Source organism: Homo sapiens, chromosome 12 (genome assembly GCF_000001405.40).
Source record: "Homo sapiens chromosome 12, GRCh38.p14 Primary Assembly".
NCBI lineage: Eukaryota > Metazoa > Chordata > Mammalia > Primates > Hominidae > Homo > Homo sapiens.
Window position 1 is genome coordinate 63700993 of NC_000012.12, and position 24160 is coordinate 63725152.

General features: G+C 35.8%; 1 pseudogene; it reads right to left on the reverse strand.

Moving 5' to 3' along the window:
• Positions 1-23939, reverse strand: part of LOC100418730 (T-box 20 pseudogene) — a 40189-nt pseudogene extending 16250 nt beyond the window's left edge.

The window sequence follows — 24160 nt, forward strand, 5'->3', positions numbered from 1 at the left end:
AGGAGGTATTATAAATCATTAATTTTAATTTGAGAACTGAAATAAACAATCCATTTTGGAAAAACAAAATGACTCTAACTTAATCTTTTAAAAAGCTTTTAGCCTTTAGTTTATTTTTAATTATTTGACTTAATCTTGTGGATTTTTCTTTTCAGTAATATACATTTCTGGTTTTGTATTATCATTAGAAACTCAAATAAGTAAACTGTACCACTGAAAAAACCCAAAAACTATTATGCTTAGTTTTCTAAGTTGTATGGCTGTGACAACCATATAAAAAATTCTGACAAAGTACAGATTACTCAGCTTAGAAATAAACATCAGTAAACTGTGAGGCAGGCAACAAATATTCTTCATACACAGATAGAAAGAAAGACACAGCAAGAAAAGAAGGATAATTTACAACCGTAAGTTAATTGTGAATAACTCTACTCCATCAGACTCACTGGTCCGGCACTTCCAGTTCATACGGTTTTATAAAATAAATGCTTCCTCTAAAAAGCTGTGGATAAATGAGTAGCATTTTAAGTGCAGAAACACATCTTGCTAACTAAAAAATTTTGTGGTGACCCCTTCTATAATTTGAAAAAAAAATCAGTTCTGTTAAACGCCATTCCTTCTTTCTTGCTGTTGTTGTCAATAGATTTTGATTTTATTAAATTAACATACTTTATTTAAAAGCAGACTTTTTTTTTGAGATGGAGTTTTGTTCTTGTTGCCCAGGCTGGAGTGCAATGGCACGATCTTGGCTCACCGCAACCACTACCTCCCTGGTTCAAGTGATTGTCCTGCCTCAGCCTCCCGAGTAGCTGGGATTACAGGCATGCACCACCACGCCTGGTTAATTTTGTATTTTTAGTAGAGATGGGGTTTCTCCATGTTGGTCAGGCTGGTCTCAAAATCCTGAGCTCAGGTGATCCGCCCACCTTGGCCTCCCAAAGTGCTGGGAGTATGGGTGTGAGCCATTGCGCCCGGCCCAAAAGCAGACTTTAATCTGTCTACCAAGCAAATCTGCTTCCATTTTATGCATGCAGACTTTTATACTAAGTCTATCTTTGCTAAAGATTTAAAGAAAATTATTTCTTTCCCAAGAAGCTGTGCATTCAGATTCTTTATCTATATCTGGGCTTTGGTATCTTCTATGAAGTAAGGAACTTCTATAAAATAAAGACGTGGTGGAATGGATTAGACAATCTTGAAGATTTACTATGGTTTTAATGATTTATAGATCTGTAAACATATAAACGAAAGTAAAAATTTTAAAACAACTGTTTTGAAAAATCCCAGTACTAGTTGCAAAAAACCCTGAGTTCTAGCCCCAGGTCTTCTACTATTCGTGTGGCACTGGGCAAGTCACTTGAGCTCCTGGGGCCCTAACTGCTGTGTGATTATAATGACAAAGATAAACTAGGTAACTCCTAAATTTCACTCTAACTTCAAAATACATACTTCCTAGAAAACCAATTAATTATATTCTGGAAGTTTAAAATCAAAATACCACTTTAGTATATAATATAATTTTAAAATATGTTTTTACTTTTTTATATGTGAGAAAGAATAAAGCACATACTAATAATTAGTTATTTCCATTTTTACAGAATTATAATATTATAATATGTTGCTCTATATTCCAGAAATAAAATTCAATTTACACTCCTTGATTTCTGTCTCTTTGTTCTGACATCTGCTATAGTCTGAACATTTATGTCCCCTAAAGATTCACGTGTTGAAACCTAATCACCAATGTGACAATATTGAGAGGTCAGGCCTTTGGGAGATGACTAGGATGAGAGGGTGGAGCCCTCATGAATGACACTAGTGCCCTTATGAAAGAGCCTGAGGAAGCTTACTTGCCCTTTCCACCAAGAAGGCACCGTTTATGAAGCAGAGTGCATGTCCTCACCAGATGCTAAACCTGCCAGTACCTTGCTTTTGGACCTTTCCAGCCTCCAGAGTTGTAAGAAATAAATGTTGTTTATAAGCTACCTTGTTTATGGTCTTTTGTTATAACAGCCCAGATGAACTAAGATACATCTAAGCACCACTGTATTCCTGGATCCTATCCCTCCAAGCAGAGGTGATGCAGCTGTCCTCCTCTATCTCAGAAGCCTAGTCTGCTCTGTGACTCCTCTTACAGAATGTGGGTCTCAAGGGGAACACTGTGGGTCAGTGGGAGCAGGGGGCAGAAAACTTTTTTCTGTAAAGGGCCAGATAGTAAATACGTTAAGTTTTACAGGTCATATGGTCTCTGTCACATATACTCAACACTGTCATTGTAACACAAAAACAGCCACATACAATACTTAAACAACAACAAAAAAACAGACCGTGTTCCAATAAAACTGTATTGGTAAGCAATAAAATTTACTTTCATATTATTTTCACATGTCAGGAAATATTACTTTAAAATTTTTTCCAACCATTTAAAGAGGTAAAAAACCATTCTTAGCTTTAGGCTGTACCCAGCAGGTGACAGGCTGCAGTTTGCCAACCCCTGCTTTAGGCTATTTACCTGATTAGATGTGTGCCCCACTGACCCTGCACTGCTCCTAAGGAAACATGCTTTGAAAACTCTACAACCCAGCCCAGAGCTGTGTTAGAACCAAAAATGGTTTCTTTCCAGCACCATAAATTATTATGAAAGACCCAGGAATTATTCACAACCATGAACTTCTTTAGCAACTCTGCCAAAATGTTTACTTCTTCATTATGTTGATGCAGATAAAACTTCCACAAATTCCCAGAATATTAGATTTGCAACTTGCTTTCCTAAAGTCTCCTTCCTCACCTAAACTAATAGAGTACACCTGAGCTCTGAGCAAAAAGGGCCAAATCCCACCGGGCTTACGTCCAAACTTCATGTGTTTGAAAGTTTTATTCAGTGCAAGTGGTTTTAAAGTCACTTTTATACAGACTCTTAGTATGAATTTTGGACAATAGGGTGAAATAAGCCTTTATATTTAATTCCCTGACCTACTAATATGAACAAGAAAACGAGAAACTCAAGAAATGAGGGAGGGTGCCAACTATATATTAAAATATTTCAGCCACAGACAGGTAAGGAGTAAGGGCAGCACCAGCCGGCATGCCATCCATCAGCACATCAGGAAGAAAGATACCCGGGGTGGAAATAAACAAGGCTTCTGTTGGAACTTCATCAAAACCCCAACTTGGAGCAAATGGGGTTAAAGATGAAAGCAGATCTTTGAGCAGTTCTTTGGGGAACAGGTTGCCACGCAGCTGGAGTCTAGGAGGAAGGAATCCCACGGCAGCCCTCCCAGCCAGCACATGGTGTATTTGGCACACTGAACAGTGTGGGCCATCACGATGGCCAGCTCTGGAGGAGGGCATGAGGCTGCTGTGCTAGGTGAGGGAACCACCACTGCCCCAGCTGGTTTCTAGCTGCTGAGACAGAGAGGGTAGCCACATCAATGCCAGGTCAACACTCCTTTTTCAGAAACTACTTCCTTATCTATCTGCGACAACTCTCTAACTTAAACAGAATTTCCACATTGGTAAAATGACAATAAATGTATTGTCCCTTCTTCAGTCTATACCTGGAAGATCTAACAAACAGCTTCAGGCTTTTACTCAGGATCGATTTCAGCTCCTAATATTAAAGAGACATTCTATTCTACAGATGAGCTAAAGAAAAATAACTGGACATTACAAAATATTCAACAGTTCAAAAGAAAATTCATTAACAGAGCAGAACAAATGACTTCTTCTGAAGCAGACTTATTGCAAGAAACAGAAGGACACATTTTAAAATCTCTAATTTGTGCTTTTAAAATTTTAGTAAGATTTAAGAAGACCCTGTATTAATAAAACAGGGACTAGTAGCCATGAAAAGGAAACAATCTGAGCATGTAAAATTACACTTACAAATAACACAACAGAAATTCTCACATTTTAAAGGAACTCAGTAAAGACAGAAGACAGAATATTAGATGCTGCAGAAAACAGAATCAGCAAATTAGAAGATATAAGAAGTTCTCCCAAAATTCAGAGTTAAAATCTAAAGAGAGAAGATAAATGGGGAATAGATTAAGGAGATGCAACATATGTTTACATTAACTTTAAGAAGATAATTTCTAAAAGACAATAAGAAAGACCAATGAATAAAATTCTAAGTCCAAGATTATTTAAGCAAAAATTATTCATTGAGGGAGAAGTACAAAAAAACCTCTATTTCCTATTGTATAGGACAACAAAATATACACTTTCAGTCTTGGCAAAAAAAAAAAAAACAACAAATATCAAAAGAAAAAGAAAAGAAGAAAATTTTCCTGAGCTCAATTAAGACTTAAATTTTCAATTGAAAAGGCTCAGTTATATTTAAATACTAATAAAAACACTACAACTGAACAGATGATACAATTTCTGAATTTCAAAGATTGAGAAAACTTTCTAGAAACATTTTGTCCAGACAGAGAAGAAACAAGTAAGTTTCCAACAAAGAAAGACAATGGGTTTGGCATTAGCTTTTATTCCACAATACTTCAAAACTAGATGACAATACTTAAAAGGAAGGTTGAAAGAGTTCTAAGCAAAAGGACTGTGACTCTAGTCAGGTTCATACATAACGGCAATGGAGCCTCTCAGTTATGCAAGAACTCATAAAGAAGATGACCCACTTATATCCTTCCTCAACCAATTACTGAATGTTTACCAATAACTGACAATAAAGTCAGAACACAATTCCAATAATTGAAGAGAGTACAGAAGAAATGAGCAGTAAACAGTGAATATGCCTACAATTAAATTAAAAATAATTGTGGCTAATCTATCACAATCCTGATGTTCATTAAGAAAATAATTTAAGAAAGATGATAAGAAAGACCAAGGGCTAAAAATCTGATTTTAAGTCCCAGATTATTGAAACAAAAATTACTGGCTGAGGGAGGAGTAGTATCCTATTTTATAGGATAACAAAATATATACTTTAATTCTTGGCAAAAAATTGAGAAATATCAATTTTACAATAATGTCCTATTGGAATTTAAAGGCAATAATTATTAAAAAGAAATATAATGAAGAGTAGAGAAAAGATTTTGGTTTCAGATGAACTAAACTGGGTTTAAGGTTCAGCTATCACAAATCATGGGAATTTGGATAAATTATTAGTCTCTCAAAGCTTTCGTGATCTCATCTACAAAATAAGAATAAGTTTCTTTGTTATATGATTATTTTGAAATAAAATATATATATATAGCCCATTGTCTGACACATGGCACATGTGGAGTGTTGGCCATTATTGTTAATAATAAAGGGAAAAAAACTTGATAAACATAACAAAAGACAGAAAAAGATTAAAAACTAAAGCCAATAGCTATATTAAACAGAAAGCAGAAATGGTTCAAAGAAGCACCACCAAACATGTCAGTTATCATAATGCTTGAAGCTGGGTTAAGTTTTTCTATTGAAAAATAAAGACCCTTAGATAAGACTTTAAAAATACAGCTACTCTGTATGCTGTTTTTATAAAGACACATCATTCACTCACTCAACAAATATTTGGGTGCTCACTGTGTGCCAGACACTATTCTGGGATCTGAGGATATGGTCAGGAAACAAAACGCAAAGGCTTTGACCATTGTGCAGGGCAGCACAATCCAGTAGGAAGGTTAAAGACCCTCAGGCTGGGACAGCCCTCGCCGTGTTCAAGAAATGTAATCAGGTCTGTGTGGTGAAGGCAGCAAGCAGAGGAGAGTAGAGTTCAGAGAAGCAACTGGGTCAGGTGGGGTAGATTCTACAGAACCTTTGAGGCCTTATCTGGACTTTGGATTGTACCCTAAATTAGAAGGTGAGGAATTGGAGGGCTCTGAGTATGAGCAATGGGATCAAACTTCCTTTCTTTGGAAAGATTATTCTGATTGCTGTATTGAATAAAAATAAGGCCAATATTGAATGAAGGCAGAGAGATCAGTTAGAAAATTAATGTAATAATCTAGGAAAGAAAGGACAGTGGCCTAGATAAGAGTGGTAGCAGTGAAGACCGTAAATAGTTGGACTCCTCTGGACTAGGATTAGTTGACAAGATGAGTTAATTGTTTGGATGTGTAAAATATGAGAAAAAGAAGAGTCAAAGATGACTACAAGTTTTTCAGCCAGAACACTGGGAAGGATGCAGTTATGAGCAGCTATGATGGGAACAGTAAGGGAAGAGTAGGTGTGGAGGAGTGTGGTTAGGCAGCCAGGTATAGGGTGTGTGAAATCTGAGGTGCTCTTAGGGGGACAGGGAAAATTAAAAGCAATAGCCAGTCAGATATTTGAATCTGGAGAGGCCAGAACCAGAAATGTAGGTTCAATAGTCATCAGCATATAATGGTACTTAAAGGCATAAAACCGAGACAGAGCACCCAGAGACCAGATGTAGACTGAGAAGAGAAGTGCAAGGACTAAGGTCTGGAACACATGGTGTTTACAGATGAATGAGATGAGGAGGAGCCAATGAGGGACATACAGAAAGCATGGTAAATGAAGTGGAATAAAAAACAGAAGACTGAGTGGTCTGGGAAGCCTCTTTCCAGAAAGGAAAGAGGAGAGAACGAATGACTGTGCCAAGGGCTGCTGACAGGCCAAGGAAGATGAGGTCTGAGAACTGACCACTGGGTTTAGCAATGAGGAGATCACTGGTGACTTTGATAAGGGTGGACTAGAGGGTAGTGGGGATGAATGTCTCAGAGGCAGAGGAGAAGACAGAAAGGGAGGAAAGAAATGGGAAAAGAGAACATATAAAACTTTTTCTGAGGAACTTTAAGAAGGAGCAGAGAACTGGGAAAGTCAGTAATTCAGAAGACAAATGGGGTCAAGAAAGGGTTGTTTTCTTCTTAATGAAAATGACAGGATATTGATGAGAGAGAGAATATTGCTGTAGTCCTATGGATTTTTAAAAATTAAAGGGTAAACAAAAGAAAGCAAAAATTTAAAAAGGGTAGCCATATAAGATTAAAGTAGAACTTGAGACAAAAACAGTTACGTGGGACAGACATTAACATATATTTGACCAATAAACAATGGAACAGACTAAGAAAGTTGTTAAAGTGGTATTCCCCAAAAGAATACTGCACCCAGGTGAATTTATGGACAAGATTTATAAAATCTTCAGGTAAATCATCATTTCTTTGCTTTTCAAACTGATTCTGACAATAAAAGGAAGGAAAAGATTTCAATTAATTTGAACAAATTAGCAGAAACCAATACCAACAACTGACAAGAGAAGGTACAAAATCAACTAATTGTTTCAAGATTGATACAAAAGGTCTTAAATAAAATGTAAGTAGTTTAAATCCAGTAATTTAAGAAAAACAAATAAAATCCAGGCAGGAGGGCTGGGCGCGGTGGCTCAAGCCTGTAATCCCAGCACTTTGGGAGGCCGAAGCTGGCGGATCACCTGAGGTCGGGAGTTCAAGACCAGACTGACCAACATGGAGAAACTCTGTCTCTACTAAAAATACCTGGGAGGTGGAGGTTGCAGTGAGCTGAGATCACGCCACTGCACTCCAGACTGGGCCATAAGAGCAAAACTCTGTCTCAAAAAAAAAAAAAAAAAAAAAAAAAATTCCAGGCAGGAATATAAGGATGGTTCAACAGAGACAATATGACTATATTATAATGTCATTTAAAATTTTAAAATTTTAAAAAAAGGAAATAATCTCAATAGATGTTAAAAGAGCATTTACTATAAATTCAATTAATGTTAAGATAAAAATTATTAATTTAGGTATGAAAGTTATTGCTTTGGTATAATAAAGAATATTCTTCTGAAACCAACAGCCACCAAAAACCATATGCAATGAATCAAGAACAAGAGAAAAATACCAACTATTATTATCCTTCAATGGTGTCCCAGAAATTTCAATCAGTGTAATAAAACAAGAAAAAGATATTTTTAAAAGTATAACTACTAGAAAGGAAGAGATAAAATCATCATTTTTGCAAATGATATAGCAATTTAACTAGAAAACACAAGAGACTGAAATGAAAATTTATTAAAACTGATTTTTTAAGTTCAGTAAAATGGCACAATGCCAAAGACACATAGGAATCAACAGCTTTTTGCAGACTAAATTAGGCAGATTTCTAATTTAAAATTCTCTTTACAAAAGTAAGCACCTCCAAAAATCTCCCTAGTGTTTTCCAATAAAAATGTAATGTGAGTCACATATGTAATTTTAGATAAGCCCAGTTGCCACATTAAAAAAAATGAAAATATATACTTTATGTAACATAATAACCCAAATTATTATTTCAATATATCTAATTGATATTTTTTAAATGATTTTTTTCATACTGAGTCTTCAAATTCTAGTGGTTTTTGGTAGTTAGTTAACCTGCTTGTGTGTTTGCACACTTAACAGTATTATTTCACATCTTCACTAACCACCTGTGGCCAGCAGCTATTGTATCAGACAGAGCAGCTCTCATAGGCCTAGATGTGTGCCTAAGAACATCTGTGCAGAACGTACAAACACGAAAACAGCAAAGTGCTACATAACACAGGAGATTTCAGAAAGAGGACAAACATATTACATATTCATAGATGAGAATAGGAATATGTGTCTTTGAATACTGATATCACTGTAAAGATATCAATTTTCCCTCCCAGGTTATTATATAAATTCAACACAAGCCTAAGCTAAATTCCTGTAACATTTATGTAGAAGACCTGACAAAAAGATTTCAAAGACTGGAAGCATAAAGATAAAAGAATATCAAGAAACTTTTAAAATGACAAGTAAAAATGATTGGGATTTGCCATATCAGATATTTAAATATCAAGTATTTACAATTTATGAAAATTACAACAATATGATACTGGCAGCTCAACAAAGAGACTGTAAGAACTAGTATGCATAAGAATTTGGTACAGCATGTGACAAAGGGAGAATGAAAAATAAGTGGGAAATGAATACGTTAGTAAATACATATTAATAGTATTCAGGCCACTTGTAAAAAATATAAAGTTGTATGTCTATTTTATAATGTTTACCAAAATAAATACTACACAAGTCAAAGGTTTAAATGAAAAACTAAAAAGCAGTAAGATGATTAAAAAACCTATAGTAAATGTTTGTATTATTTTGGAGTGAGAAAAGTTTTCTAGGATAGAAATCAAAGAACGAGAGCAACAGATTTGGTGATAAAACCATCTATGTATCAAAAGCATAAATAAAAAGCTAATTTTCAAACTGGTAAAATGATTCCAACATATATGAACAATAAAATACTAATACTCTTGATACATAAGTAGCTTTTACAGCTCATTTAGAGAACAAGGTGAACAATCCAAAAAAAAAAAAAAAAAAAAAACCTAAGGACATAAACAGGCCAATTCCCAGGAGAAAATACAAATGTTCACCTATGAAACTGGCAAAGATGAAAAGACGATGATTATGTCGGACAAAGGTGTAAAGGAATGGTAACTGCTGTGAACAACCTTTCCTGAAGGAAACTTGGCAGTATGCATAAAATGCCTTAAAAACATATACAGTCATGTGCCACATCACAATGTTTCAGCCCACAACGTTTCACATATATGAAAGCGGTCCCCTAACATCAGAACGGAGCTGAAAAATGTCTATCACCTAGTGACATCATAGCCATCATAATGCAGCAGCACAACATGTTACTCACATGTTTGTATAAAATACATCATACTTGATTAATGATAATAAACAATGATGTTACTGGTTTGTATATGTACTATGCTATAATTTTTATAATTATTTCACAGTCTACTCCTTCTACTTATCAAAAAAAAAAAGTTAACCGTGAAACAGCTTCAGGCAGATCCTTCGGCAGGTATTCCAGAAGAAGGCATTATCATTACAGGAGATGTGTGTTATTGCCCCTGAAGACCTTCAGTGACAGAAGATGTGGAGGTGGAAGACAGTGATATTGATTATCCTGACCCAGGGTAGGCCTGATGTGTGTGATTATGTCTTAGGTTTTAACAAAAATGTTTAAAAAGTAAAAAAAAAAAAAAAAAAAAAAAAAAAAAAAAAAAAATTGAAAAAACTTAACGGAATAAGGATATAAAGAAAAAATGTTTTTGTACAGTTGTACAATGTGTATGTTTTAATCTAAATGTTACAGGAGAGTCAAAAAGTTAAAAAAAATAAAAAGTTTAAAAAGTAAAACAGTTATAATAAGCTAAGGTTAATTTATTCTTAAAGAAAAATATTCTTTATAAATTTAGTGTAGCCTAAGTGTACAGTGTTTATAAAGTCTTCAGTAGTGTACAGTAATGTCCTAGGCCTTCATATTCACTGACCACTCACCCAGAGCAAATTCCAGACCTTAAGCTTATACAGGTGCCTTATACAGGTGCCTTATACAGGTGTACCATTTTTTATGTTTTACACTGTATTTTTACTGTGCCTTTTTAATGTTTAGGTACATAAATACCTGCCCTTGCATTACAATTGCTTACAGTATTCAGTACAGTAACATGCAGCACAGTACGGTTTATAGGCTAGGATCAATAGGCCATACCAAATAGCCTATGTGTGTAGTAGGCTGTACCATCTGGGTTTGTGTAAATACACTCTATGATGTTTTCACAATGACAAAATCTCCAAACAATGCATTTCTCAGAATGCAGCCCTTCTGTTAAGTGACTCATGACTATACATCTTTCCACTTACATGAGGTACCCAGACTAGATAAATTCACAGATGCAGAAAGTAGGATACAGATTACCAGGGTCTCGAAGGGAAAGTAAATTGGAAGTTATTTTAATGGATACAGAGTTTCTGTTTGGGATGATGAAAACATTCTGGAAACGGATAGCAGTGATGGTTATGTGACATCATAAATGTACTTAATGTCACTGAATTGTACACTTTAAAATGGTTAAAATGGTCAATTTTATGTTATGTATATTTTACCACAATTTCTAAAACCTCCATTGCATGACTATGAATTTTATTAAACCATTCTCCTATTATTGAATATTTGGGTTCTTTTTCTAAATTTTTAAACAATTAAAAATAATACTATGATAAAAAAAAATACATCCTTTGACTCAGCATTTCAATTTGTGGATATTTATCTCATGGTAATAATTAAGAAGATGTGTAAAGATGTGCATTTTCCTCCTGGCACTATTTGTATCAGCAAAAAATCAGAAACCTAAATAACTAATGCATAGGATTAGTCAAATAAATTACAGCACATAATGGAAAATTAGAAAGCCAATAAAAAGTGTGCTGCAGACATATATCTATTTATATTAAGGAGAAATATTTAAAAATAATATGGTTGACAAGATAAACTTTAAAGGAAGTAAATGTTCATACGTGCATAAGAAAGTACCTGAAAGAATATATAATGGGGTTTTGCCAGGGGTCATCTCTAAGGAAATGGGTTTTAACTGCTTTTTTATGCTTTTTCTTACTTGTCCGTATTTTCTGATATTTTGGCAATGCACACAAACTCTTTTAGTAAAAAGAAAAAAATTTATTAAAAGAAACTTAATTTTGAATAAAACATAGATAACTCCTCCCAGTTATTTTTCTTTTCTCAGAAGTAACACTGTGCCTTTGTGTACTGGACAAAGTGAACCACATCCCCCCAGAAAAGAAACATAAAATGCCAACTGAATGACTGTCTAAAGCTTGTTATTATATGGAACCAGCCAATAATTGTTTTCCCAATCTGAGAAACTAGACATTAGATTATACAAAGATATCCCTTTGGGCTTTTGGTTTGCCTCTTGGTTGACCATAGTAGGTATATTACAAAGCAGTAATGAAAACACTTTCTATTTTTGCCAGTGAGGTGGGTTTTCTTTTAGAAATGAGGAAGACGATGTCCCTGAAGAGTAAGGCTACACACAAAGTGAGACATTCAAGTACCTCAATGGAACCTAGTAAAATTAGAGCAAGAAAACTAAAACACCTTTAAGAGTATCTCAAAAGCTTGTGTAGCTGTAGAAGGATTAAAATTGTGAATTTAGAGGTACAGGCAAACAGATCCAATCCTAAAGGCATTTTTGTTTGGGTGTCCCACACATTAAGCTGTAAATCTGAAACAGGAAACTTGAAATCATTAAGGTCACATATTTATAACATCATATTCAATTAGGTTAGAAAAGTGCAATATCTGTCATCATGTCATAAAAAGATGTGTTTTTCTCTCAGATCTCTTATAAAGAAAAGCTCCCTATATTGTTAAGGATAGGGCTGTTTTCAATCAGTTACAAGGAGCAATTCAATTACTAGATGGTTTAGTGCAGTAACTGACTCAGACTAATTTAATTTCTTTAGGTCTCTAAAGATCAATTGATCTGATTTGTCCCATCCCCAAAGGCTGTTTATGAAAAATTCAGACTTAAATATCTGGAAATGAAATCCAAAACCTCGGCCAATTTCACACTACTTAGGTCATCTTGCAAACTTTCAGCTAGTCATATAAGAGTGCTGTCTTTGCCCTCAGACCATTGAAAGCTACTTAGCTTCATGTACATGTGAGTGCTCCCACATCAGGATGCTTATCCAATAAGTGGAAAATGTGGCCACATGCATTATCAAATCTGCCATTCTAAAGAGCAGTCAGACTGAGTACCTCCTATCTTGTAAACCAATGTGCAACTACAAGGCTATTTTTACTCTAGGAGTAGTTTATTAAGACTATGAAACATAGAGTTACATGGGATAAAAGTTGTTAGATGAAATGCTCATATAACAAGATGAAGAACTTGTAATTATTTTACATTTTTAGATTTATAAAATGCTGTCATAAATGCCAGCTTATTTGATTCTCAGAATAAACCTCTGAGGTGAGCAGGGTTATTTTTTCCATTTTCTAGATGAGTGTACAGACTCAGAAGTCTGGTGACTTCTCCAGGATCACTCACCCAGGAAGAGGCAGAGGTGAGACTCTAAGCCCTAACTTTTTTTTTCTCCCAATATATCATGCGTACCCCCATGGTCTGAGACAGAAAATATGACACACACTATAAAAACAGATCACTATCACCCCACTGCATCATTGTCTCCATTCTTATTTAATACCTGAATAAAACTGAGAAAAAGTTCACTTATAACAATCCCAACTGCATAAACCCGGTCTGCAGCAGGGCTTCTGGCCCTCAGAAACAGGAAATAAAGTCATGCCTAAATGAAGTTGCCTTTTGCAAGTGGACTCCTTTGTTGCCCACACTGCTGGTACCTCATTCTCAGTGATTTGTATCCCACCTAACTTGAGAGTTACCACTTGCCTTCTCTCTGCCCTTTGCAATGGATTTTCAATCACAAGCTCAAGTTTCTTTTCCTGATCCCAACACTTCCAACCAACTTGTCCAGCTCTCCAACTATTTAATCTTTCTTTTCTGCTCAAATCCCATAGTTCCTGGCCAACATTCAGCCTCTCCTGCTTGCTCCTCTGCTTCCCCACTGAGCCTCTAAGTCTGTTCCCCTAAATCAAACCTCCGCCTCACATTCTGCCATTTGGGAAGGCTTAGGAAGGCTGAGACAGAGGTTGTTAAAATATGTAATTATCTTTTAATTTGAGTTGCCAAGATAGATTAGACAGAAGTGCTGAGGTCAGCAGATGTGGCTATGTAGGTAACAAAGAGTGCAGCAGAAATGTGCAGAAGTTAGTAGGGAAATTACACAGATGTAGAGATAAGAAAATCAGTGGTTCTGGTGGCTAGGGAACTTCCCTGGTCAATCAAGACATTGGGCCACATAAAAGAATTAGTGTGTTTAAGAAGTAAAAATAATCAATTAGGTTTAAAAATCTTCTCTTTGAAAAACAATTTTTGACATTCATACTGGGCAAAATATGTATCTCCATATAGTCATTACTCATCACCTCAATGGTCTCAAACTGCATGAACCATTTTAATTGAATAAAAAGTAGGGTACGTTACAGGCACATGATTTCACTTGTCTTCTTAGACGCCTGATGTCTCTCCTATTAAATAAAAGCAGTCTACTATATTGGTAAAATTATGTGACCTTGAATTAAATTACATCTCCTTGTTTTAAAATTCCCCAACTACCCTTACACTCTTTGTGTTAGCAAATATATCTACTTGGGAAGGTAAAAAGCTACCAAGGTTCTATTTCTCTACAGACTGCCACTCATTGAGACATGAAGCTTAAAAATGTAAAGAGGACTAAGTCTTTAATAACAACAAAGCCCTATTTTTTATAGTAGAATAAATGTCCTGACCAAAGAAACTATTTCACTCAGAAATTAAGCATATAATAGATCCAGTCACAGTAGCTGTCAGACTTAGGCAGTTGCATATGTACAAGGAATAGGGGCAGAGAATAGAAGACTATATATAGTAAGGTTATGATTCTCTGGTGTCGAAAGGAGTGTGTTGTTACAAACTCCCTCTTCTCTTGATCTTATCTGAACAAGAAAGTAAACAGAAAATTCTCATTACCTCTCAAGGTCAGTGAGCCTGGAGGAATCCCAGAATCCTTTGGCAAAAGGATTGCTATCTATTTTCAGCTTCGTTATCTGGAGAAAGAATGGGTACAAAACAGTATCATTTCTGAGGTCAAGGAAGTAAAATCATAAATAGTTTGTTCATTCTCCATAGCACACCAAGAATATCTTAATGTTTCTCAGTGTCGTGAGAAGGGTGGAAAATGCTACACATGTTCACAAGAGGGACAAATCCCAGCCAGGTGGGATGGTAAGGGAAGACCTCAGAGAGGAGGTATTGAGGACAGGCTGGAGGTTGACAGATAGATACAATTAGGGAAGGGAGCCTTTGAGGCAAAAGTAGATGTGAACTGGGGTGTGCAGTATTTAATATATTATATAATATGTCAAAGGCTAGGGCTGAACTGAGGAATGGGAGAACCACCTAAATGGGAGAATTATGCAGAATTCCAGCATTGATAGAGAATGAAAGAAAGAATGCATTTGACTTGGTGACATCTTTTTTAGTACTGTGAGTACATACACACACCATAATAGATAAAAGGTAAAATGGCCAATAATAGCCTCATGTTCAATATGATATTGATATACGTGACATAAATACATGACATAAAGCCTTCTGAATATAAATTTTCTATTTCCCTTTCCATTTGACTAAATCAGAATCAAATTAGTCCATCTTTTGTTATCCTTCCATGAAATGTTATTTATAAACTCTATGTTTTTATGGAAAAACACATTCTAATAATAATCACAGTCTGAAATATTAAATGCTCATGCTGTGGTATTCAGAATTCCCATAGTACTAATATTAGTGTAGAAAGATCCATGAAATTATATGCCCCATGCCTCTGAAGGAGAATACATTAAGTTGTAACGAAAAAATAAAGGAAACACTGATTAAAAGATACTCAACATGGAAAATACTGGAATTGTTAGAGCTGAAAGGAAGCTGAGAGACCATCTAGCCCATGGTCTTATCCGACAGATAATCACACACAGACTCAAAGAGCACAAGGGCCAAGATTCAGCTGGTCAGTAACTGAATTAGAACCAAGAAAACCTTTAAGGAATCATAGCTTCTCAGTATCAAAATTAGAACACATGTTCATCTCCAGAGAGAAATGCATGCTAAAGATTCTTAACAGGGGAAAAAAGTTACAGGCATGTCTTCTTCTTTCAAAGTAAGGAGTACACAATCAAAACAGATAGTTTGAAATACTCTTGCCAGGCCGGGCACCGTGGGTCACGCCTGTAATCCCAGCGCTTTGGGAGACCGAGGTGGGCAGATCATAAGGTCAGGAGTTCGAGACCAGCCTGACCAACATGGTGAAACCCTGTCTCTACTAAAAATAAAAAATTAGCCAGGCATAGTGGCATGAGCCTGTAATCCCACCTACTCAGGAGGCTGACGCATGAGAATCACCTGAACCTGGGAGGCAGAGGTTGCAGTGAGCCGAGATCACGCCACTGCACTCCAGCCTGGGCGGCAAGAGCGAGAGCAAGACTCTGTCTCAAAAGAAAAAAAAAAAAGACGAAAAAAAGAAATACTCTTGCCAAAAAGCAACTTTCTCCCCAAAGTATATCTATAGAACACTTTAAACTGTTAACACATGAGGAATTTCTTTTTTCATTTCAAAAGAAATGTGGTTTTTTCTTTTTCATGGTTTCTGAACACTTTCAGAACCAAGGCACAAGCTGCAAAGAAGCTATTTATGCCTCGCTTAAAATGAAACCCCCCATACTAACCCAGCCAGAAAGACTCCTCTATCAATAACACTGGCAAATCATAAGATTAACTCTTTGATAATATTAATTTTTAAAAAATTTGACAGTGCCTCAGAAATGCTCATTTTTAGTCCATGAACATTCACTGTTGAGCAGTTAGAAGAAAATAGCTATGCTATGAGCATTGGTAAACAGGGAAGCAAATAAGCTACATAAATCAGAAACCTGTTCTCATGGACAGCAACAGCTAAGACATGTATATGAAGAGAGATACAGGAAAGAGTTTATAGCGAACCTTCTCACACACAGCTACCACTCTCTGAAGAATGAAGCCTTGTTTCATCCACTTATTCCAACTAGGACTTGTTTTTGAAAGTCAGTTTTGGGAGGGAAGGGGAAAATATTTTTTTTTTTTTGAAATAAATTATAAACATCCTCTAAAGCCCAGGCAATCGATAGAGTCTACAATTACAAATATCAACAAGATTTTAAAATCCTCCAGGACATGAGCTATGTCTCTTTGTAACGAACAACTATACTTAAAATACGTTCTACTTCTGAAGTACTTTATAGTTCATTAATATGCTTTCACAATAATTCATCAGCAAATAATGAGGATAAATCACCATGCCCATGCACTGCGCTAGATGTCGGATGACATGCACAGCTAATCAGAGCTGGAACTGGCTCTAAATGATGCTAAAGAAGGTGACACCACCTCCAACAGAGACATTAAGGGTAAATCAAACCCACATGAAAATTTCAAACTGAAACTGTGAGGTGGAGCAATAAAGGTAAGGCTGCCTTTAAATAGCACATTTATAAAATTGAAAAGTAAACAGGCTTGCCAATGGATAAAATTTTCTACAGACAACAACAGATAATATATCTGATAAAAAATTCATTTTGAAAGAACTTTTTACAGCCATCTCTCTAAGATATGAATCATATCAAGCTTTTTCTGAGTCTTTACAAATGAAAAGGGTAGAAGGTATTACCTATCTGTTCTAATGATTAAAGATGGACTTTTGACATATTTTATCTCTGAAAAGAATTTTGAAAATCACATTTCTTGTTCTTCTTTCAAAAGATAAAGACTATTGGCTCAGAATATGATTGAGAAGTTATCTTAAATTCTCCAGTGCTCTAATACCACAGAAAATACATACTCTCAAAACACGTGTTGCTCAATTGATGTGTCACCATATCTGATAATACTGCCATACTTTGAGCAAAGGAGTAACTTAAATTCAACATGAGTTTTCAGATGTCTTCGAATTTTCTCTCATTATGAGAATTATCTACTGCTAATATCATTTTAATCCAACTTTCATAATTCCTAGGAGTATCAGTGGAAATTTCTTTACATTTTGATATAATTTCAAACTTCAGGAAAGTTGCAAGAATAGTACAGGTGCTCTTATACACCCAGATTTACCAATTAGCTACAGCAATGATTTAATTTTAGTGCACTAATTAGAAAAAGAATTCAAAACAATTACTTTCTCTATTTCTATTTAATCTAATTCTAGGGAAAATAATTGCTTTTGCACGTGACAGCAAAAAAAAACTGAATGGATCTATTATCACTAAAATTGTATGGGAGCTCTGGGTTGATGCTACACATTCCTGAACAGCTTTTATGGGGTATTAATAATTAGCAGCACAGAGATTGTGGATTAAACTTCTTTGTGAGCCCACCATGTTCCTTGTAGCCCACTGTCACTAGACTCTGAATCTACTAGAGTGTCCACAATTAAGAACCCCACAAGTATTTGTTGAGCTTTACCTCAAGAACAAGCACAGTCAGAAATATGATCTCACCTTTTCACCAATTATGAACTAAGTGAAACCATGAATTTACAGGAAAAGCATTTCACTTTTTAAATTTTAAGATAAAATAATTTTTAAATAGCAAAATTTTAACATTCTAGGTAATCATACGTTTTAAAAGGTCAGACATAGAGTTTATGCCACAATATTTAAATAAAGACCAGTAGCTATACAGAAATTCATTTTTAAGGTGTAGTTTTACATCTCTTTATGAAATTTGGGATAACTGAAAAAAAAAAAAACACTGAGAACTGATGAGAAAAAGAAGCTGAGTTACAGACAGTGATTTCAGGTGGACACCATTTCATTCATGTCCGAATAGAGGATGCCTGCATCTTGTAATGTTGTTGAACAAATCACGTTTATCAAAAGTAATCCTAAAAGAAGTCTCAAAAATAAATCAGCTACCAAACATTGTATGTACAGAAACCAGAGATATGGCTTCTTTATAACTCACAAATTCTTAAAAGCAGCAATGTTTCTCACTTCATCAAGAGAAAACACTAAGCAAGGTTAGTAGTATGTGCTTAAGAAATGCTACTGTTTAGTGTGGGTCTACATATATCCAAGTTACTAATTCAGTCCAAAACACAACCCTGCTTTTTCATGTATTTAAATAATATAGAACATAATGCAATTCCTAACCAAAATGTTCACTCTTTTGGCATCTCTATTATCTTTAAGTAAATGTGTGGAGGGCAGATTTTGACACTACCTGCTGTGCAAAAGAGAAGGGGACCTTTTGCAGTGGTTGTTCTGTATAATATCACTGGACTCTGAATCCAGCTAGGGTTCCCAGCCACAAGGTAAAATTGGCCCTCAGAGACCATTTCTCCAATTAGCAGGAAAATATCTGACCAAAGGCATTTAAAAATGAAACTTGACCTACACTTCAACTCTACAGCAATGGTCTGCCTGCTCAAAAACAATGCATGACCTTTCAATCTTAAATTATAAAATAGTTTGTTGAAAGTGTAATGTATTTAGCTTTTATCCAATAATGTAAAGAAATGCAATCATTCCCTTGCAAAAACCAGAGAAAGAAATAGCAAATAAAAGGTCCCACTTTCATTACTTATAAATGAAACTACAAGGCACAATAAATGAGGAAGTTTTTCACAAATTGTTTTGGAAACTCTGACTTGGATTTCAATAGACATAAAAATAGCAGTCATATCCAAAGCTTAAGATATATGAAAGTGGTCCTAAATGTGAATTTTTAAATCTTCCTCTCTTTTCTCCTCCCTCTTTGTTCTTTGTATGTGAAAAAATTCTAATACTATACCTAGTATATATTTACTTTATTTCCTATATATTTATTATATGTTATAGGCTATTATATGCTGCAGGATACATTATTGTATGCTATAGGAAAATTACTACACAAACTTGGTAGAGCAGTGAAGTCACAGTAGATGGTAGAAGGCCTAGAAAGAGTCAAGGATAACTTTAGAAAATGACATAGGACTAATGAAAATGCCAACCCACAAGTTCATTTATTCACTGCACATATGTTTACTGAGCACCTACAAGAGGAATTTTGATTGGTCTTACGAGGTTTATAAACCATTTGCAAAACTGGCCTGTTAGGATACCAAATCAAATTGTTGACTATTAACTGGATTTCTATTTTAAAGGCATATGGCTTTGTGCAAGGGGCTATGGTTTTAAAGGTGGATATCGAAAAATAAACTCAGACATAGTAGAATCTATGAGAAAATTAATTCTGAATTTAGTCACTTCCATTGTGGTTACTCAGCAATGAAATGACATATTAATCTTATTAATATTATACTTAATGCAAGAAAGAATAGCTGGGCACTGATGGCTGGATTTTGATCCCATTTATGATATTAATTAGAAATAAACCTTTGCCAAAGGAGCAACTTATGTTGAAATGTGCGTATTATTATCTTCAGCTATTTTCATTACCCATATTTTCAAAGTCAGTTTTCGATGACACTGTCAGTGGTCACCACTTCCTTGGCCTTGCAATCTATTATGATGCCACCAAAAAGGAGGAATTAAAACCCAGAAGATCAAAACCTTGTACTGGTTCTGTCACTTACCAGATCTGTGACCTTGGGTGAATGTCTTAACCACTCTGACCTCAGTTTCTAATTCTACAAAATGGGACTCGTGGGGCCTTCTTCAAGGCATACAGTGTCAGAATTAAATGAGGTGTTTAGAAAAAAATGTGGAAAGATTTTTCTAAATTAAAAGTAATAAATCCAAACCATGAATTTTAGCTGGATCCTAGTTCAGAGGGGGTTTAGGGGCAGTTGGTCTATCCTGAAAATTTTAATATAAACTGAATATTAGGTGATATAAAGAACAAATTCTTATAAATTTTCTTAGCTGTGATAAAGATGTTGGGATTATAAAAATAATGTTCTAATTGTCAGAATAGGCTTACAGAGTGTTTAGAAGTCTCAGGAAGCATGCAACTTAGTTTCAAAAGGGGAGGGAAGAAAATGGGAAGGAAGAGGGGAAGTATGTTTGCATATAGAGAGGAAGAGGAAGGAAAGAGAAAATTTGGGGGAAAAGCAAATTTGGCATTGCTGAATCTGGGTGGAAGGCATGTGAGGTTCATTTTACTATTTGTTTCATTTTTTGTATATCTGAAATTTGTTCTAAATAAAAAATCGAGTAGAAAAACAAGAATTAAATTAGAAAATGTCATTAAAGATGTGGTTCCAGTTGGATACAGCGAGTACTAGCAGATATTCTGACCTCCTGTTTAGGATGATCATCATCGTGTTACACTTGCTGATGTGTGGTGTGAGCAGCACATTTGTTTAAAAAAAAATGAGCATAAAGAGTTGATGCTCTCTAAAATTGATGTCTCAGAGTCTATCAGGGCCAAGAGCTGAGAGAGGGTGAAGTTCTGCTTCTTTGGGAACAGCAGGCACTCACAGCTTAGGGGTTAAGGGCACTCCCTCTTGAATCTTAACCACCTGAATTCAAATCTGCAATGGGAGGAGCAAGGTCACTTCAGATGACTTATTTAACTAGTGCCTCAATTACCCCAACTGTACGATGCTGAATAAAAATACAATTGTTCCTATCTCACGATATCATTGAGAAGATCAAGTGTGATTATGAATTCAAGTGGTGTCTTGCACATAGTAAGTACCCAAATGTTAGCTGTTATTCGTATTATGTAAATAAGACCGTCCTATGATATGAGAGGTCCCGCCAACACTTACGCAGTCTTGCTCTCTCACCTATTAAACCAAATCTCAGGCATTATACTTTAAAGTTTACTAGAAACTTTAATTTTTGTTCATCTCTATAATTTTCACTAAAAAAAATAAAGAGGAAAACAATTTACCTCCTCCTGCTTTGGCCCTCTTTAAAAAGAATTATGATAAAAGCAATGAGGTTTCCACATGACAAGTGTCTATGTTATTTCCAAACATCAATAAGGTTTCTTAAGTGAGCATAAATTTAAATTGTTAGAATATATTAGCATGGTGTATATTATAAAAGCTATGAAATCAATTAGTATAAATGAATGGAATGTTTTTGGAATCTTTTTGGAGCCTATGATATTTGCATCCCACGTGCCCTCAAATAAATTAAAAACAGGATTGCTGGTTTCAGTGTTCCAGATTTGCAAAGAAACAGCATTAGCGCTTCAGGCCTTTGTAGGCTTCCATCTAAACCCCAACTTTTAGTTTGGGCATTCTCTGAATGTTTCCACTCCTGTGTTATGATCTTGGAGATAATTCAAAGGTTACAATACTTGCCTTTACTATAAGATCATCAGCATGATAGCAATTATGCATTAATTTCTCTATCTCATTAACTAATACACCACTAAAATTTTAAAATACAAATGGTGACAAATTCTTTTTTTGACATTTCTGAGATAGCCCCATCATAACCACGTCTTATTTACAGAGCACCTTACAGCTTCCAAAGGCTTAAACAAGCCTACACACACAACTACATTTGATCTTCACAGCAATCCCCTAAAATGGTCTGGTCAGTTCTTGGCCCTAATAGCTAGGTAAGGAAAACAGCAGCCACTGGTGAAATGAAATCTACTCAAAGTTGTATAGAAATCCTAGGAGAGTAAGCCTTACATACATCCACTCTGGCCATCTGCCCACATCCCTTTTCCAGGCTTCTACTACCTCATTTCTGTGAGGCTGGCTGTGATGTCAGCTTCATCTTGCCTGTCCCGAGGGTCTCCACACCACCTCGCTTCCAGGTGACCATCCTCCTCTGGACTCTGAGCCATCTACCAGGCAGCATCTAATAGCTACTCACTCAGAACCCAAAACCTAACAACATCAAGACAAGAGGAGAGCAGTAGTCTTGGCTACCTATGACCAATGAAACAAACACAAGATACAAAGACACAGAGAGGTCATAAACAACTGAATGTGTCAAGTAAACGGAGCATGTGACTTCCTTTTATATTGAAGTGTATGAAAAGGAATTCTATTTCTGGTCCTTTCTGATGGAGAGAAGTTACTCACCCTCTCTTAGCTTCAGCTTCCTCACCTATGGAGCGTAGTACTGCCACAGCCCCTTAAGCTTACGCTGGGCACAAAAGAAGAAAATGTATGGGAAATGTCTATCAGTACATAGCCCTTAGTATGGCCTTGATAAATATTTACTAAGTTGGAATAAGCCCTATGGATGAAGAAATGCATTAAGTTTATTTTTTTTAATTTTATTTTTTTGAGGTGGGGTCTCGCTTTGTCGCCCAGGCTGGAATGCAGTGGTGAGATCTCTGCTCACTGCAACCCCTGCCTCCCAGGTTCAAGCGATTCTCCTGCCTCAGCCTCCCGAGTAGCTGGGACTACAGGCATGTGCCACCAGGCCCAGCTAACTTTTGTATTTTTAGTAGAGACAGGGTTTCACCATGTTGGCCAGGCTGGTCTCGAACTCCTGACCTCAGGTGATCCACCCACCCTGGCCTCCCAAAGTGCTGGGATTACAGGCATGAGCCACTGCACCTGGCCAAAAATTTATTAATTTTAAATGTGATGTACAACAGAGAGTAAAAAATGTAGGTTGAGTATCCCTTATCTGAAATGCTTGGAACCAAAAGTATTTTGGATCTCAGATTTTCTCAGATTTGGGAATGTGCATTATACTTACAGGTTAAGCATCCTTAATCCACAAATCTAAAATCTGAAATGCTCCAGTGAGCATTTCCTTTGAGTGTCATGTCAATGCTCAAAAAGTTTCAGATTTTGGAGCATTCAGATTTTGGGTTTTTCGATTAGGGATACTCACCCTGCATATAACTCAATAATATAAATTAGATATCTTGATGTTACATACTATAGTTTACTATCTAAAAAGACATTTAAAATCATTTTACCAGAATTATCTCACCCTAAATTATAGCTGAATAAAACCTCACAAAATATCTAAAGTATCAGCAGTTTGGGCAGTTGGATAGAATAGGTGTGTTTAATTCAGCAGAAAAACTGAACTTTTAAATTTTATGAAGCAACAAGAACATGGTTATACATGTTACCAGGAGGAGGAAAAGGAGGCAAGTAACCTTCTGGAGAAGAAAATGTGAGAAGGCAGATTGGGGTAGGTGTGGGTGGGGAAGTGGGCAGTTAAAAACTTGACCCATAATGTAGAGATTCTAGAAAATACAGTGTAATACACAGTCACTCAACACACTCTTAGAGGTCCTAGCACTGAAACTCAATAGCTCTCTGCAAAGTGAACATCCATTTTGAGTACTGGGATATCACTTCTCTCCAAGAAAATATAAGAACCTCCTAAATCCTTCTCTTATGCAGGAACTAAATTGTGAACTGTACACTCATCAGTTAATTCTGGTAGGCAGTGACTGCCGTAAAAACTGTTTCTGGAAGGATGAAAGTTCTAAATTCTTCAGACTTCAGGTTGAGCAATGAGGCTGTGTGGTCTTTCTTCTTAATGATGTGCACCCTTGGCTGGTACTTATGCATTGAGTTCAAAATGATCTACAACAAAAAGATGGAAAGTACTGAATTTTACATACTTATACTGCTCAACAGGCCAAATTACAATGAGGCAAGAAAGAACCAAATGGTCTACAATTTCAAAGTCAATTTTAAGATATGGATCTACCCTTTCCAGCCTTAAGGCAAATCATTTTCACAAGATACTGCAGAGTCATTGTTGTGAATCACATTTTACCGAAACAACTGCAAACCACACAGGT